This window comes from Homo sapiens, chromosome 16 (assembly GCF_000001405.40).
Source record: "Homo sapiens chromosome 16, GRCh38.p14 Primary Assembly".
In the NCBI taxonomy this organism is placed as follows: Eukaryota; Metazoa; Chordata; class Mammalia; order Primates; family Hominidae; genus Homo; species Homo sapiens.
In genome coordinates, this window is record NC_000016.10 from 67939750 (window position 1) to 67953062 (window position 13313).

A 13313-nucleotide genomic window follows, 5' to 3' on the forward strand; every position below is an offset into this window, starting at 1 on the left:
AGCTCAGTCCCAGGCCTCAGCAGAGCCCATCTTGCCTCACTGCACACAGCACTGAGCCTGTGGCTGGTGAGGAGTGAAACCTAGTGTGGGACTCTAGTGCCTCCCTTCAACCTGAAACATAGCCATCAGGGCTTACGGTAGCAAAGGAAGGTCTTTATTCAGGAGGCGGGGGCTCTGGGCTGGCAGTCGGGGATGCAGGGGGACCCTGGCGGTAGGCACCCAGCAGGATGGCATTGATGTGCTCCAGGGTCAGGTTGCTGAAGACCATGTTGAGATGCTGTATCCCGTGCAGGGGCAGCAGGTGCACAGGCTGTGGCTGGCGGCCCTGCCACAGGCCACAGAGCTCGGTGCTGCGGGTCGCCACCGTGTCATCACCATCCTCATAGAGCACACCCACAGGGTCCGTGTAGGGGAAGCCGTGGTCGTAGATGTAGGTGCGGGGCGTGGGCAGGCCCACGCCGTAAAGACAGTATACTTCCACACCAGGTGCTGGGAGTCCTGCCAGGAGGTCACGTGACTGCAGCCACATGTACCAGCCTTCCTCAAAGTGCAGGTCTGCAAAGAAGCGTTGGAAGTCACGGCCTGTGTAGTTGAAGCTGGGTGTGGAAATGAACACGTGGTCCTCAGGCCACGCCATGCGAGAGGGAAACATCCAGGGGGAGGTGGTGGTTATGCGCTGCTCCTCTTTCAGCTTGATGCTGGACATGATGGGGATGCCCTGGTTGTCACCTGTGGATATGGAGCAAGGTGGGACAGGGAGCCAGGCCTGGCTACCCCTGGCCCACAACCTGCTGAGTGTAGGCTCAGCCAGATGCTCAATCTTGTCCCTGCCCAATCTAGACACAGACTCTAAGCCACAGGCTTGAGCAGGCCTGATATTCAATGATGCTCAGTGTCAGCTTACTCAATGAGAAGCCCTGATAAGACCTCTGTTGGGTGGAGCTGTAGGGCTTCAAAAGGATGGCAGGGACAGGCACCATGGCTCACCCCTGTAATCCCAACACTTTGGGAGGCTGAGGCAGGAGGATCACTTGAGGCCAGGAGTCCGTGACCAGACTAGGCAATGCAGTGAGACCCTGTCTCTACAAAAAAAAAAAAAAAAAAAATCAGCTGGGCTTAGTGGAGTGCACCTCTAGTCCTAGCTACTCAGGAGGCAAAGGCAGGAAGATTGCTTGAGCCTAGGAATTTGAGGTTACAGTAAACTATGATCGCACCACTGCACTGTAGCCTGGGTGACACAGTGAGATTCCAGCTTAAAAAATAAATAAATAGGGCCGGGTACGGTGGCTCACACCTGTAATCCTAGCACTTTGGGAGGCCGAGGCAGGCAGATGACTTAAGGTCAGGAGTTCGAGACCAGCCTGGCCAACATGGGGAAACCTAATCTCTACTAAAAATATAAAAATTAGCCAGGCGTGGTGGCACATGCCTGTGATCCTAGCTACTAGGGAGGCTGAGGCAGAAGAATCACTTGAACTGGGGAGATGGAGGTTGCAGTGAGTGGAGATTGCACTACTGCACTCCAGCCTGGGAAACAGAGCGAGACTCCATCTCAAAATACATAAATAAACAAATAAACATTTTTTAAAAGGCCCAGCACAGTAGCTCACGCCTGTAATCCCAGCACTTCGGGAGGCTGAGGCAGGAAGATCACTTAAGGTGAAGAGTTTGAGACCAGCCTGGGCAACATAGCAAGACCTCATCTCTACTAAAAAACAAAAATAAATTAGGTGTGGTGTTGTGTGCCTATAGTCTCAGCTAACCAGGAGGCTGAGGCAGGAGGATTGCTTGGGCCAGGGAGATTGAGACTGCGGCTATGATCACGCCACTGCACTCCAGCCTGGGCGACAGAATGACCCTGTCTGAAAAAGAAAAAAAAAAGTAGGCGGGGCTTCCTGAGGACCAGGGTGTGTGGGGATGGTGGGTGAGGCCCAGGATGTGTGGGGATGGTGGGGGCGGTGCTGGCTGTCCTCCCTCGGGCATGTGTCTTTCTGCTCCTTGTGTGGCTTATGCAGCAATGGGGGCCACAGAGTTGTGCTCCAGAAAGGGGGAAACAAGATGGTGTCTGTTTGATGTTTATTGGTGGTGTCTGATGAGCGTTTCTCTTGTCCAGACTGTGTTTCTCTCTCCAGACCAGCTCCCAGGGTACAGGGGGTGGGGAGTAGGTGGTAGCTGTGTCAGTGCTGGGCCCTGGTGCCACTCCCTAGGGAAGAGCAGGTGGGGCCTCGGGGGGTCTGGCCCTAGCTCTGGCAGATCCATCCTCAGTGAAGCACATCCCTGGGCAAAGGCACTCCTGCGAGCAAGTGGAAGGCAGGCAAGGGCTGGGCAGGCAGGCTCTGGGGCTACAAGAACAAACCCTGGGAGCAGATAGCTGGGATTCACTTTCTGTGTTCACTGCCCCTTTGCCATCACTGACACAGACTCTGGAAGGAGCCACCCTAATTGCTCAGGCCAGGGTCACTGCTCTGGGGGCCAGTGACAGCAAGCATGCCAGCCCAGGAGTGGTAGATAGCACCCCTAGAGGCCACTGTGAGCAGGAGCCGCAATGAAGGCAGGCCCAGGATCAGCTTGGTCTCACCCATCGCTGGACCTAAGTGTTCGAGGCCTTCTCACCTGAGGCCAAGACCAGCATGGGCTTGATGGAGCCACCCCAGGGAGCCCCAAGAGAGATGAAGCCATCAATAAAGCGGTCCTTCCAGGCCTGGGGCTGGCGCAGCAGGAAATAGAGCAAGTGTAGACAGCCGAGGCTGTGGCCAATGAGGAAGACAGGCTTCCCATAGGCAGCGTGCATCTCCTCCACCAGCCCTGCGAGCTTGCGGTAGTACTCCTCCTGCTGGCCTGCAGCGGGTGGAAGGGGTCAGGGCAGCTGGGGTCTGGGGCACCTGCCCCACCCCAAGCCGGTCATCCGCAGAGACACTCACCGGGCTCCAGCCGCCAGTCATAGGGGGCGGCGCGCACAGTCTCGTCCCGCACGTAGCCATTGTTGACCAGGTTCTGCACCAGTGTGTGCAGGTACCCTGTGGGGGGACCAGCAGCACCGGGGGCTTGGGCCATGCCTGCTGTGGGCCAGCACCCAGGCCTGGAGCCCCAGCCCTGCCCTCTGACACAAACCTGCCAGCTTGCTGCTGTCCAGGTACTCCACAGAGTAGGTCTTGCCAAAGCCAGGGACGCGGATCTGGACACCAGGGGCGTTGGACACGAGCCCAGAGCTCCGGTTGTAGACAACCCTGCGGGGCGGGGGTGCCACTCAGCAGCCAGTAGCCAAGGGGCAGCGTGTTGGGGCTAGGGTGGAGCACATGGCTGTACCTGGTGTTATCGATCCAGCAGTCTACCCCAAGGGGTAGGAACATGTTGAGATCCAGCCAGATGGTGAAGAAGTCCTCTGTCTTGCGGTAGCACATCCAGTTCACCACATCTGGTTTGTCCAGCTTGGCTTCTAGCTGATTCCCCAGGCAGCCGGGCACTGTGAGCAGCAGCCCTCACTCTGGACTCTGGATTCCCCCCGTGACCCTTACCCCCGTCACCCCAGATGCTGCAGTGACCAGACCCACCCCCCACCTCCCATACCCTCAACCCCCAGGTACAAAGCACACTTACCCTCCCCTGCTTACACCCCCTCTCCCTGCTGTCCCCCCAGTAGCCAAAGCCCAGGCTTCCCTGAGGAAGGGAAGGCGCTGAGGTGCTGAGGCCAAGGCCGCTGACCCCTGCCTCTGCAGAGCAAACACCCAGTCTGGCGCTCCTTTATTGCCAAAGTCCAAGGTGGGAACAGATAGGTCTGGGGGCATGGGGGCTGGGCCTAATAGGGGCCGGGCATGGATGGGCCTCTCCTGCTCACCGATCCTGGGCTGGGCATCTTGTCCTTGGTGGGTGGGGGCCAAGGAAGGAGTGGTGGGGCTTGGCCCAGAGTCTGGTGTGGCTGTGACTGACCACAGCTTGTGATGCCCCAGCCAAGACCTCAGGCACACCCCGTCCCCCACTCCGCCCCCCCTGGGTTAGACAACTGAGAGTCACAGTGTGGTGGGAGAAGGGACGTCATTCCTCTAAGGGACAAGCTTTTGGCCCCTCCCCACACCAGGGCAGGTACTTATGTCGGGGCTTATGCAGGGCAGAAGGGCTTTGGCCAGGTCAGCTGCCAGGGGCTGGGGCCCAGGCTCCCCAGGGTCTGGCGTGGTGCATCAGGGGCCTGGTGGGGGCTTACCGAGGATGACGGGCCGTGTGTGGTTACTGAGCTCAGCCTTGGGCGTGGTGTGCGGGGGGAAGAGCACATTGAGGAGCCAGAAGGGGGCGGCAGGAGGGAGCAGCAGCCCCAGCAGCAGCGTCACCCACTGCCATGGGGAGCCGGGCGGCCCCATTCCAGCCCTGGTGCCTACTGCCAGAGAAAGCGGCACTGGGCTGTCCTTATCTGGTGTGGGAGTGGGAGGGGCCCTAGGGCCAGTGGGAGGGACGGCCTGGCCAGTGGGGGTTGTGGCCAGAGATTGCCGGAAAGGGGCACAGCCTCAGGGAGCCGGCTCTGGGCCTGGGTTCAGTTCCGCCTTCTTCTCTTGGCGCCAGGGGAAACAGAGCCGGGGCAGCAGGAGGCCCAGAACTACACAATGTTTTATTGAAAAAGTCAGGCCTCAGCTCAGCTGTCTCCATTCGGCTCAGCTTGGTGGGGGGCCCTGCCCATAGTAGACTGAGCCAGATCTTCCTGCAGGCAGCTGGGCTGGACTCCCTCCCTGGCTACCCTTCCCTTCGTCTCTGATGGTGACATCCAAACAATAAATATGCAATAAATAGCGCTCCTGGGCTGGGCCGGGCCGGCTGCCTTCAAACCCCACTCGGCCCCTACCAGTCTTCTCTGGCCAGGACAGGCCTACTGGGGTGCTAGATAGTAAAGTCCCCAAACATCCCAGGGTCCCACAAGACCTGGGATCCATCTCCATTTTGAGGCCCAGGCCTGGTTTCCAAGGAGACCTAGCAAAGCTGGGTCCAGGACAGGGCCAGGCAAGCAGGGCTGGCAGGTGGGTGCTGGGAAGAGGCTGTTACCCCAGACCACAGCTTGTTATGTCCTGGCCAAGACCTCGACTCCAGGCCACAAGATGACACTGGGCTCAGGAGTAGATGGTGATGACTTCACGGCCACCACCGCGCACCAACAGCACCCGCTCAAGGCCCTCGGTCAGCACCTCGAGGAACTCCATGTCTGCAGGGCCTCAAGTCAAGGAGGCAACAACAGAATCAACGGGCAACCCGGGCCACCTGGGCCATGCCCACCCAGGGGTGCCCAGGAGAGAAGCCGCTGGCTTGACCTCCCATGCTATCCACCTCCCAACTGCCTGCCTCTCCACAAAGGGATACAGTTCTCGTCGCCCTCACTGTTCCTGGGTGGGCCAGGCATGTTTAGGAGAACCAGGCGGGCGTCGTGGGAGCGCGTGACAATGACTTCATTGAGCTTCACAGCAGTGTGCATGCGCCGCACATTGGATTGGTCCCTACACGTAGTGTAGCCAGTCACAGGTCGCCATGAGCCATCCTGCAAGGAGGGTCCCCACCCCTGGCCCATCTAACACTACTTGTCTGCCCCACCCCACCTCCACCCCTAGATTCCAGTGCCGCTGGGGCTGTTTTTGCTGCACTCACGGCTTAATGTGCACCAGCTCCCGGAAATTGTCAGGGGCATGGCTGGGGTCCCAGGTCTCAGTCATGTACTTGTCCCTGGTCCACGTCATCTGGATCTTGTCAGCCCCCACTGCAGACTCATCTTCCTCGTCCGAGTACAGGCTCTCCAGCCGCAGGGCCGAGTGCCGATCCTTGACCAGCTGGGCCTGAGGACAATTGCAGGAGATAGCCTTGGTCCCATAGGAAAAGGGGGATGGGGCCTGTCTGGCCCAATGTGACCACCTTGCCTCCGGGAAATGAGCACTAGCTTGGGTAGGGCTGCGGTGAGTCATTCTGATTCCTCCGCACCCACCGATGCGGTCTCCAAAGGCCTGACCCTGCCACCCGCCCTGGCGTGAACCACAAAGGGCACTGACTTCTCGCTCCCGCTCAGTCTTGGTCAGTCTCATCTGCCGCAGCATCTGCGACCGCTGCTCCATCATCAGCGTCCGCTCGTAGGTGTATGCAGAGATGTCACTGTTATGCTGGGGACAGGGTTGGCCGTGAGGACCCAGCTGCACGGGACATGGTATCCACGGGGCCAGGGCAGGGCAGAGGGCTCACCATCTCCACCACCTCCACCTCGGCCTCAAGGCGCAGATGGTACAGAAAGACAGCCAGGTCCTTCTTCATCTGGATGCTGTTGTCATCCATCTGGGCCACTGTGAAGATGCGCATCCGGCACTTCCTCCAGACCTGAGGCAAGGGACCAGGTGGGCGGTTTGGTCACAGCTGCTCCTCCAAGGGCCTAGCCCCTCTCATCTGCACCCACCCCCTGGTCTACCTTATGCTGGCGCAGCAGGAAGGGCAGAAGCATGAGCATGCCACCATCGTGCACGATCCACCACACGTCTATGTGGCCCTCCAGGTAGCGCTCGTGGTTGCTGGGGTAGAAGGCGATGTTCTTGGGCACGAGCAGGGCCAGGTGGGCAGCCGTAGTGCAGCGCACGGTGTCTGGGGAGGAGGAGCACGGCTGACCACCAGTCTGTGGCCCTCCGCCCACTGCCACCTCACTTCACCCCTGCCCACCAGGCCCCAGGCCTTCACACACCAATGAAGGTCTTCCAGGCACGGGGGTCCTCGCTCTGTCGCCAGCCGTAGGGCCAGCCCAGCACCACGGAGTTATGCCGCATGCCTCCCAGGCCACAGGACTGGATGAGGTGGGCCAGCCCCTCCCGCACCTTGCTGGCCACCACCACCTGGCAGAAGCCCTTCACCTTCTCAATTTCCATCATGTTCTTGATGGTCTGTGGGGAACACACCCAGGGCCAATGGGAGGCCATCAGCTTCCTGCCTCTGGGCTCCCTCCCAAGGCCCCTCGGGAACAAAACGACTTTTGGGTGGAGGAGGGCCTGGGGGCAACAAGCTGCCTACCCAGAGGCCAAGTTTTCAAGATGGGACTGCTGGCTCCCCCTTGTGCCAGCTCTCAGGTGGCAGCAGTGCTGGCTGCCTGGCTGGCCACCCTGGCCAAGACTGGGCCCTCCCCTCCGTGCCAGCTGCAGTCCAGACCCCTGTAGTCTGGCTCAGCTCTCCCTCCCCAAAGCAAGTACCTGCTCGGCGGCCTGAGCCTCGCCATAGCTCTCCAAGAAGCTCCCCTGGATGACAGAACCAACAATGGTCAGGCCCTTGCCAGCCTTGAGCTGGGAGGCGAAGGTGAGGAGCCGCGGGTACTTCACGTGGAGGTCCTCGTCCAGCTTCAGCAGCACCAGCAGCTGCGGCCTGCAGTGGCCGGGTGGGGGGAGCCTGAGACCAGGGCCGGCCGTTCTAGGGAGCCCCTCCTCTTCTTCCCTTCTCGGGTCGTGGTCCCTGCAGGTTTGGGTAGCATGGCCCAGGAGGGTGCCCCGGGCAGCCCCAGGATGGGGAGCCGGCACCTCTCGACCCTCTGACCCCGACAGCGACCCCTAAGAACCTCTGCGCCCTGGCCAGGGTCTGGCGGGAACTCACCGCCAGTTCTTGGTGTGAGGAGGCCCCTCCTCCAGCCGCAACAGCGCGTAGCGGGCAGCGCTCAGGGACAGGCCTCGGATCCCGTCACCCCACTCCTTCTCAGCCCTGCAGATTCCACCACAGCTGGTGAGCCCCTGGTGCCGCCCAGGGGGTTCTGTCTATGTGGATGCGAGGTGGAGGGGTTCTGCCCCTCAAGACCACCCAGGGGTCCTGAGTTACAGTCCCCAGTCCTGGCACCCACGGTGGCCCAGCTCCCTGCCCACCCCAATGCCAGACCACCCTGCCTGCTCGGCCGGGCCCCCTCAGCTGGCAGAGGCCAGGTGGCAGTGCTCACTCACCCTTGGTACTCGATGTATTTGTAGATCATGCCGGCGATGAGCATGGCCACCAGGGCATAGTACCAGGAGGAGACAAACATAAGGGCCAGGCAGAGACTCATGCCCAGGAAGGACAGCGCCCTGGACGAGAGGGGAGGGCAGAGTCAGGGCAGGACCAGGAGGACCCCTGGCCACAGCCTGGCCCATGCCCTGGTAGCCCTGTCAGGTCCCGGGTGGGAGGTCCCAGGTGGGTGGTCAGGTCACTGGGTGTAAGACCTAGGTCCAGTCCCCCGCAGCCCTATAATCTCCCTCCCCACAGTGTTTCAAGAGCTCCCTACCCAGGAAACCCAAGCCTCACCCAGAATGAGGCTCCTGGCCTCCCCAGGGTCTCCCGTGTCAGAGGCATGGCTCACCAGTGATAGTACTTGAACCGGGGCCGCCAGTTGGGGGTCCTCAGGAGTGTCTGCACCGCACAGGCGAGGTTCACGAACAGGTAGCACATCAGAAAGAACCTGCGGCACAGAGGGCGGTTGGCGAAGAGCAGCCTCCTCGGCAGCTGGGGACCTGATGTCAGGCTGGGCCTGGCCCAGAAACGGGGCGTGGCCCGGCCCTGCCCTGCATGGCTCAGCAAGGTCTTCTCAACCTCATTGCTGCCACCTCCATGGCCTGAGGCAATGAGACTACTGTGGAGGAGTCCTCGGAGCCAGATCGCAGAGGATGGGCAAGGGTTTGCTGTTGGAGGAGGTAGGAAGGGGAGTAACAGGGCAGAGCTGAAGAGGGTGGTGCAGGGGCAGCAGGAAGAGCTCAGTGCCTGGAGACTCTAGGCCACATTCAGGCCTCTGGCCTGAGTGACCAGCTGGATGAGAGGCTGCCATGCATGAAGGGGAGGATGGAAGATAAGCTGGACCATTTGAATGCAACCAGTCAGAGATACTTAAGAGTCACTGCGGTGGGCGTGGGAGTCCCACGCATGGGCAGGGCCAGCTGCATGAGCCCTCCAGGAAGGCACCCGAGGACGGGTGCGCAGGAAGGCAGGAGGACCCACACAGGGCATGCCAGGGGGCAGGGGCTCCCAGCAGGAGGCCCGAGATAAAGGCTGAGATGTAGCCTCTGATTTGGGCACAAGGGGGGTCACCACCCAAGATGGCTGTGGCAAAACAGTTTCAGGTGTGCTCTTGGGTGAGAGGAAGGGGTGTGGGGGGGTGGACAAGAGGGTGCTGGCTCCAGCAGGCCTGGCTGTAGCTGGGATGGAGCCTGCTCAGGGGTACAGGGCCCCTGTCAAGTCTGCAGGCTGAGTGGGCAGGGAAGAGGAGGCCTTTCATAACCGCACAAGCAAGAAGGAGCGTCAGCCACGGAGCAGGGTGGGCGAGGACCCCAGCCTGGACAGAGTCAACCAAACAAGCGCTGCCTCGGGGTCCCTGGGAGTCACCACATGCTGGCCACTCCCTGCAAGGCACTGGCACGCAGATTTGCCTGGCTGATTCCAGAATGTTAAAAGCAAATGACTTTGAAAATGGATGGGTTGGGCATGGTGGCTCACGCCTGTAATCCCAGCACTTTGGGAGGCCGAGCCAGGTGGATCATCTGACGTCAGGAGTTCGACACCAGCCTGGCCAAGATGGTAAAACGCCATCTCTACTAAAAATACAAAAAATTAGCTGGGCGTGGTGGTGCATTTCTGTAATCCCAGCTACTCAGGAGGCTGAGGCAGGAGAATTGCTTGAACCCAGGAGGCGGAGATTGCAGTGAGCCAAGATCATGCCATTGCACTCCAGCCTGGGTGAGAGAGTGAGACTCTGTCTCAAAAAAAAAAAACAAAAACCAAAAAACAAACTAACAGATGGAAGGGGCAGCAGTGGCTTCATGGAGGCATGAGGGACGCGGTGGTTGCCCTGTCCAGTGGGAAGGTCTGCCGGCCACCTGCTCTGGGGGCCTCAGGGAGGTGTGGACATATTGGTCACCTTATAGCTTTGGCATAGGTGCCAGGCTTGCTCCTAAATGCAGGGGTGGGCTGAGCCCTGTCAGGCCACATCTCCCCATGCAGCCTGCCACATCTCCCAGCTGGACCTCCAACACCAGACGCAGCCACGGGGAGGTGCTGGGGTTCAGGAAGCCTTTCCCCATCCCCCTGCCCTGCCCGGCCCCAGCTCACATGGATAAGATGGGGGCCACCATGTCGAGGGAGGCGATGAGGATGCCCAGCTCGGCGATGAGTGCCGTCAGGAGGAGTGCCCATGTGGGTTCACCATTCACCTTCCCGTGGCCAAACACCTGTGTGCACCAGGAAGGAAGCTGGGTCCTGTCACCCCCATTCCACACCTTGGGCCCCAGACCCCAGCCTGGCCTCCCTCACCCCCAGGGCCCGCCTTGGGGGCTCAGGCCGCCCCTGTGTCTATCCCTATGGGTGTCACCAGTCTCCCTGATTCCACCTCACCAGGCCTCTCTCCTTTGGATGAGCCCTAAACAGGCCATGAAGATTCTGGGTCCAGGCAGCTCCAGGCCCAGGTGAGTGCCAGGCCCAGGGCACTTCTCAGTAGCTCCTCATGGATGGCCGCCTGGCCCCGGGGGCCAATAAGGGCAGGACGTGCTGCATCTGTGTTCCCTATCTCTCTCCCCAGCCGGGCGAGGGCCTGGGAGCAGCCAGGCCATGGGGGAGTGCAGAGGGGCTCACCCGGAGGAAGGGGATGATGTTGTCCTTGGCAATGGCCTGCAATAGGCGTGGTGCCCCTGTGAGGCTCTGGAGGCCAGCGCCACACGTTGAAAAGAAGGAGCCGATGACGATGACCCAGGGTGAAGGCCAGGCCAGTGTGCCCACCACCAAGTTCCTGCTGACACCATCGCCATACCTGCAGGGGCCACCAGAGTGAGGGATGTCAGGGGTCCGGAAGGATGGCACAGACCACCAAAGGCAGCCAGCAGGCTTAGGACCACCCACGGGGTTGGGAGCTGGTGTGAGGGCAGGCCAAAGCCCAGCCGCTGCTAAAGAGGGGGGCCCAGCTCACTCACTTGTCCCGGAGAACCACACCCTCAATGCAGGCACCAAAGAGAACCACACTGCTGAAGTCTGCGGCGGCGTCAAGGAAAACTCGGCCTCTGCCACCCCACTGTCCCTGAATAGTACCACGTGCCCCCACCCCAGCCAGACTACCAGGACACCTACAGCTGGGAGTCTCGTGGTGTGTATGTGCATGTGTGCATGAGAAGGGGAGCTATATATGAGTGTGTGGGGTGTCTGTGCATGTGACCTGGCAACGTACACAGGCCAAGCGCTTCCCGTCCTCTGCCCCACCTGCCCCAGGCCTGGGAAAGGATACACACGAGGGAAGTTGTAATGATGGCCAGAATGGTCCCCACAGGGATAGACTTCTGGGCGTCACGAAGGTCCCCAGAGCGGTTTGAGCCAGCCATGATGCCTCCAAAAACAGATGAGACTCCCTCAGGGGCTCCCCGGGATTGGGGACAGGGCTGGGTGGGTAGGCAGGCAGGGCTCACCTGTTACAGAAGGGAAGAAGATGCCGACCAGCACGGTGAAGGATGTGGCGATGTCAGCGACCACGTACAGAGGCAGGCTCTCCTTCAGGCTCGGGGCATCTGCGGAGGGCAGCCCATGCTTCTCCACGATGTCACCCTTCTCCAGGTAGGCGCTCCACAGGTTTTCTGCAGGGGTAGCTGTGTCACCACCACAGCTGCCCCCCACTACCCCAGGTAGTTTGGGGCAGCCTAGCCAGAGGCGCAGATGCAGGGCAACTTTGGGGACTCAGGGAACAGCTTCAGCCCAATGACTGCAGCGTCAGCCACAGGGCTACCCTGACCACAGAGAAGGAGCTGCCCAGCTAGAAGTCGACAGACAAAGGTGGCTGAACCACCGTCACCCAGAGCCCGCCACTGCCCGCCTTCCACAGAGGCCTTTATGGATCCTGTGGGAACATCCCCAGGCAGTGTCAGGGGCTGGTGGCTGGGGAAGACAGGCTGCTGCAGGCCTTGGACGCTGGCCAGACAGGCTCCACTCACTCCAAACTCGGCTGCCAGGAGCCAGGCTGGGAGGACACTGGGGGGCTGGGAAGGCGGCCAGTCCTGCCCCCGTTCCCAAGCTGGCCACACAAGGACAGCTCTGTGCTCTGTGCCCCTGCTCAGCCTGTGGGCTCAAGAGCAAGACGACGGGAGGGAGGACCCACCCTGGAGCACACCAGCAGCTGCCCCGGGGATGCCAGGGATCTCGGTCACATTGTTGAGCATGAAGTAGGGGTCACAGGAGTCGGTCGTAAGGTTGGGGCTGTGGCAGAAGAAACTCCATAGCTGGGTGGCCACTGTCTCATTGTCCACTACAGCTGTCTTGGCACAGATGTCAAACTGGTCCCGGGACAGGGTCCTGTTGCCCAGCATGCATACCCTGTGAGGGACAGAAGCACCGGCACCTGCTCAGGTCAAAGCCCCTGCCTGTGCCCACCCTGCAGTCTCTGGGATCTGGGGCATCAAAGGCTGGCTACATGGGAGGGATGTCCATGCAATGCCCAGATAAATTCCTGGGTTACTTACGGAAACACGGGAGGGTCAAATATAGACTTTATGCCCCCAGCATAGATGGAGAGGATGGAGATGATCACACAGGCCAGGAAGAGCGAGGCAAATTTGTTCACATACTTGACCCCCACAAACACCACCAGGGTCATGAAGGTCAGGAAAATGGTCCCATACACACGCATATTGTTCAAAGTGGCATTCGACGTGTCATGAGCACCCGATGGGTAAAAAATGGCAGCTGGTGGGGCAATGTAGGTCTGAAACAAGAAGATGGATAAGGAGGGTTTTATTTCTTATTTGGAAAGTGAAACTTGTCGTTTTGGTTTTCTTTTTACGAGTACCTAAAAGAGGCCGGGCGCAGTGGCTCACGCCTGTAATCCCAGCACTTTGGGAGGCTGAGGTGGGGGATCACTTGAGGTCAGGAGATCATGACTAGCCTGGCCAACATGGGGAAACGCCATCTCTACTAAAAATTAGCCGGGCGTGGTGGCACGTGCCTGTAATCCCAGCAACTGGAGGCTGAGGCAGGAGGATCGCCTGAATCCAGGAAGCAGAGGTTGCAGTGAGCAGAGATCGCACCACTGCACTCCAGCCTGGGTGACAGAGGGGGACTCCGTCTCAAAAAAAAATAAAAAATAGGTCAGCGCCGTGGCTCACGCCTGTAATCCCAGCACTTTGGGAGGCTGAGGCGGTGGATCACTTGAGGTCAGGAGTTTGAGACCAGCCTGGCCAACATGGTGAAACCTCATCTCTACTAAAAATACAAAAATTAGTGGTGCAAAAACTGGTAGTAGTGGCACACGCCTGTAATCCCAGCTACTCGGGAGGCTGAGGCAGGAGAATCACTTCAGTCTCGGAGGTGGTGGTTGCAGTGAGTAGAGACCACACCACGGC

General features: G+C 60.0%; 2 protein-coding genes across 6 annotated transcripts in view, besides 4 other annotated features; both read right to left on the minus strand.

Annotated features, from left to right (window-relative positions):
- LCAT (lecithin-cholesterol acyltransferase) lies at window positions 1-4371 on the minus strand. Its single transcript, NM_000229.2, has 6 exons — window positions 4199-4371; window positions 3307-3463; window positions 3112-3227; window positions 2922-3017; window positions 2614-2838; window positions 1-729 (listed from the first exon to the last, which is right to left on the minus strand). The coding sequence occupies exons 1-6, from the start codon at window positions 4350-4352 to the stop codon at window positions 155-157; spliced, it is 1323 nt and encodes a 440-aa protein (NP_000220.1). The 5' UTR covers window positions 4353-4371; the 3' UTR covers window positions 1-154.
- Window positions 35-644: an enhancer, noted in NCBI's record as "H3K4me1 hESC enhancer chr16:67973687-67974296 (GRCh37/hg19 assembly coordinates)". NCBI's record gives its function as "activates a minimal SCP1, AML or CMV promoter by ChIP-STARR-seq in primed H9 embryonic stem cells {active_cell/tissue: H9 hESC(primed)}" and the evidence as "EXISTENCE:reporter gene assay evidence [ECO:0000049][PMID:30033119]".
- Window positions 433-482: an enhancer, noted in NCBI's record as "active region_10997". NCBI's record gives its function as "activates an Ori minimal core promoter by ATAC-STARR-seq in GM12878 lymphoblastoid cells {active_cell/tissue: GM12878}" and the evidence as "EXISTENCE:reporter gene assay evidence [ECO:0000049][PMID:35858748]".
- Window positions 2570-2619: an enhancer, noted in NCBI's record as "active region_10998". NCBI's record gives its function as "activates an Ori minimal core promoter by ATAC-STARR-seq in GM12878 lymphoblastoid cells {active_cell/tissue: GM12878}" and the evidence as "EXISTENCE:reporter gene assay evidence [ECO:0000049][PMID:35858748]".
- Window positions 2603-3502: an enhancer, noted in NCBI's record as "H3K4me1 hESC enhancer chr16:67976255-67977154 (GRCh37/hg19 assembly coordinates)". NCBI's record gives its function as "activates a minimal SCP1, AML or CMV promoter by ChIP-STARR-seq in naive H9 embryonic stem cells {active_cell/tissue: H9 hESC(naive)}" and the evidence as "EXISTENCE:reporter gene assay evidence [ECO:0000049][PMID:30033119]".
- SLC12A4 (solute carrier family 12 member 4) overlaps window positions 3725-13313 on the minus strand; it is a 25221-nt gene continuing 15632 nt past the window's right edge. For 4 of the 5 annotated variants that reach the window (NM_001145962.1, NM_005072.5, NM_001145964.2 and 1 more), the window contains 18 exons: window positions 12435-12676; window positions 12074-12288; window positions 11391-11555; window positions 11213-11311; window positions 10905-10962; window positions 10570-10744; window positions 10051-10169; window positions 8312-8410; window positions 7920-8039; window positions 7582-7686; window positions 7188-7356; window positions 6689-6884; window positions 6422-6591; window positions 6202-6333; window positions 6015-6122; window positions 5620-5804; window positions 5338-5471; window positions 3725-5182 (listed from right to left, as the gene is read on the minus strand). In NM_001145962.1, the coding sequence (NP_001139434.1) occupies window positions 5091-5182; window positions 5338-5471; window positions 5620-5804; window positions 6015-6122; window positions 6202-6333; window positions 6422-6591; window positions 6689-6884; window positions 7188-7356; window positions 7582-7686; window positions 7920-8039; window positions 8312-8410; window positions 10051-10169; window positions 10570-10744; window positions 10905-10962; window positions 11213-11311; window positions 11391-11555; window positions 12074-12288; window positions 12435-12676 (2583 nt within the window). In that variant the 3' untranslated portion in view covers window positions 3725-5090. The remainder of the gene's footprint in view (window positions 5183-5337; window positions 5472-5619; window positions 5805-6014; window positions 6123-6201; window positions 6334-6421; window positions 6592-6688; window positions 6885-7187; window positions 7357-7581; window positions 7687-7919; window positions 8040-8311; window positions 8411-10050; window positions 10170-10569; window positions 10745-10904; window positions 10963-11212; window positions 11312-11390; window positions 11556-12073; window positions 12289-12434; window positions 12677-13313) is intronic. The other variant, NM_001145961.2, reaches the window with a different exon arrangement.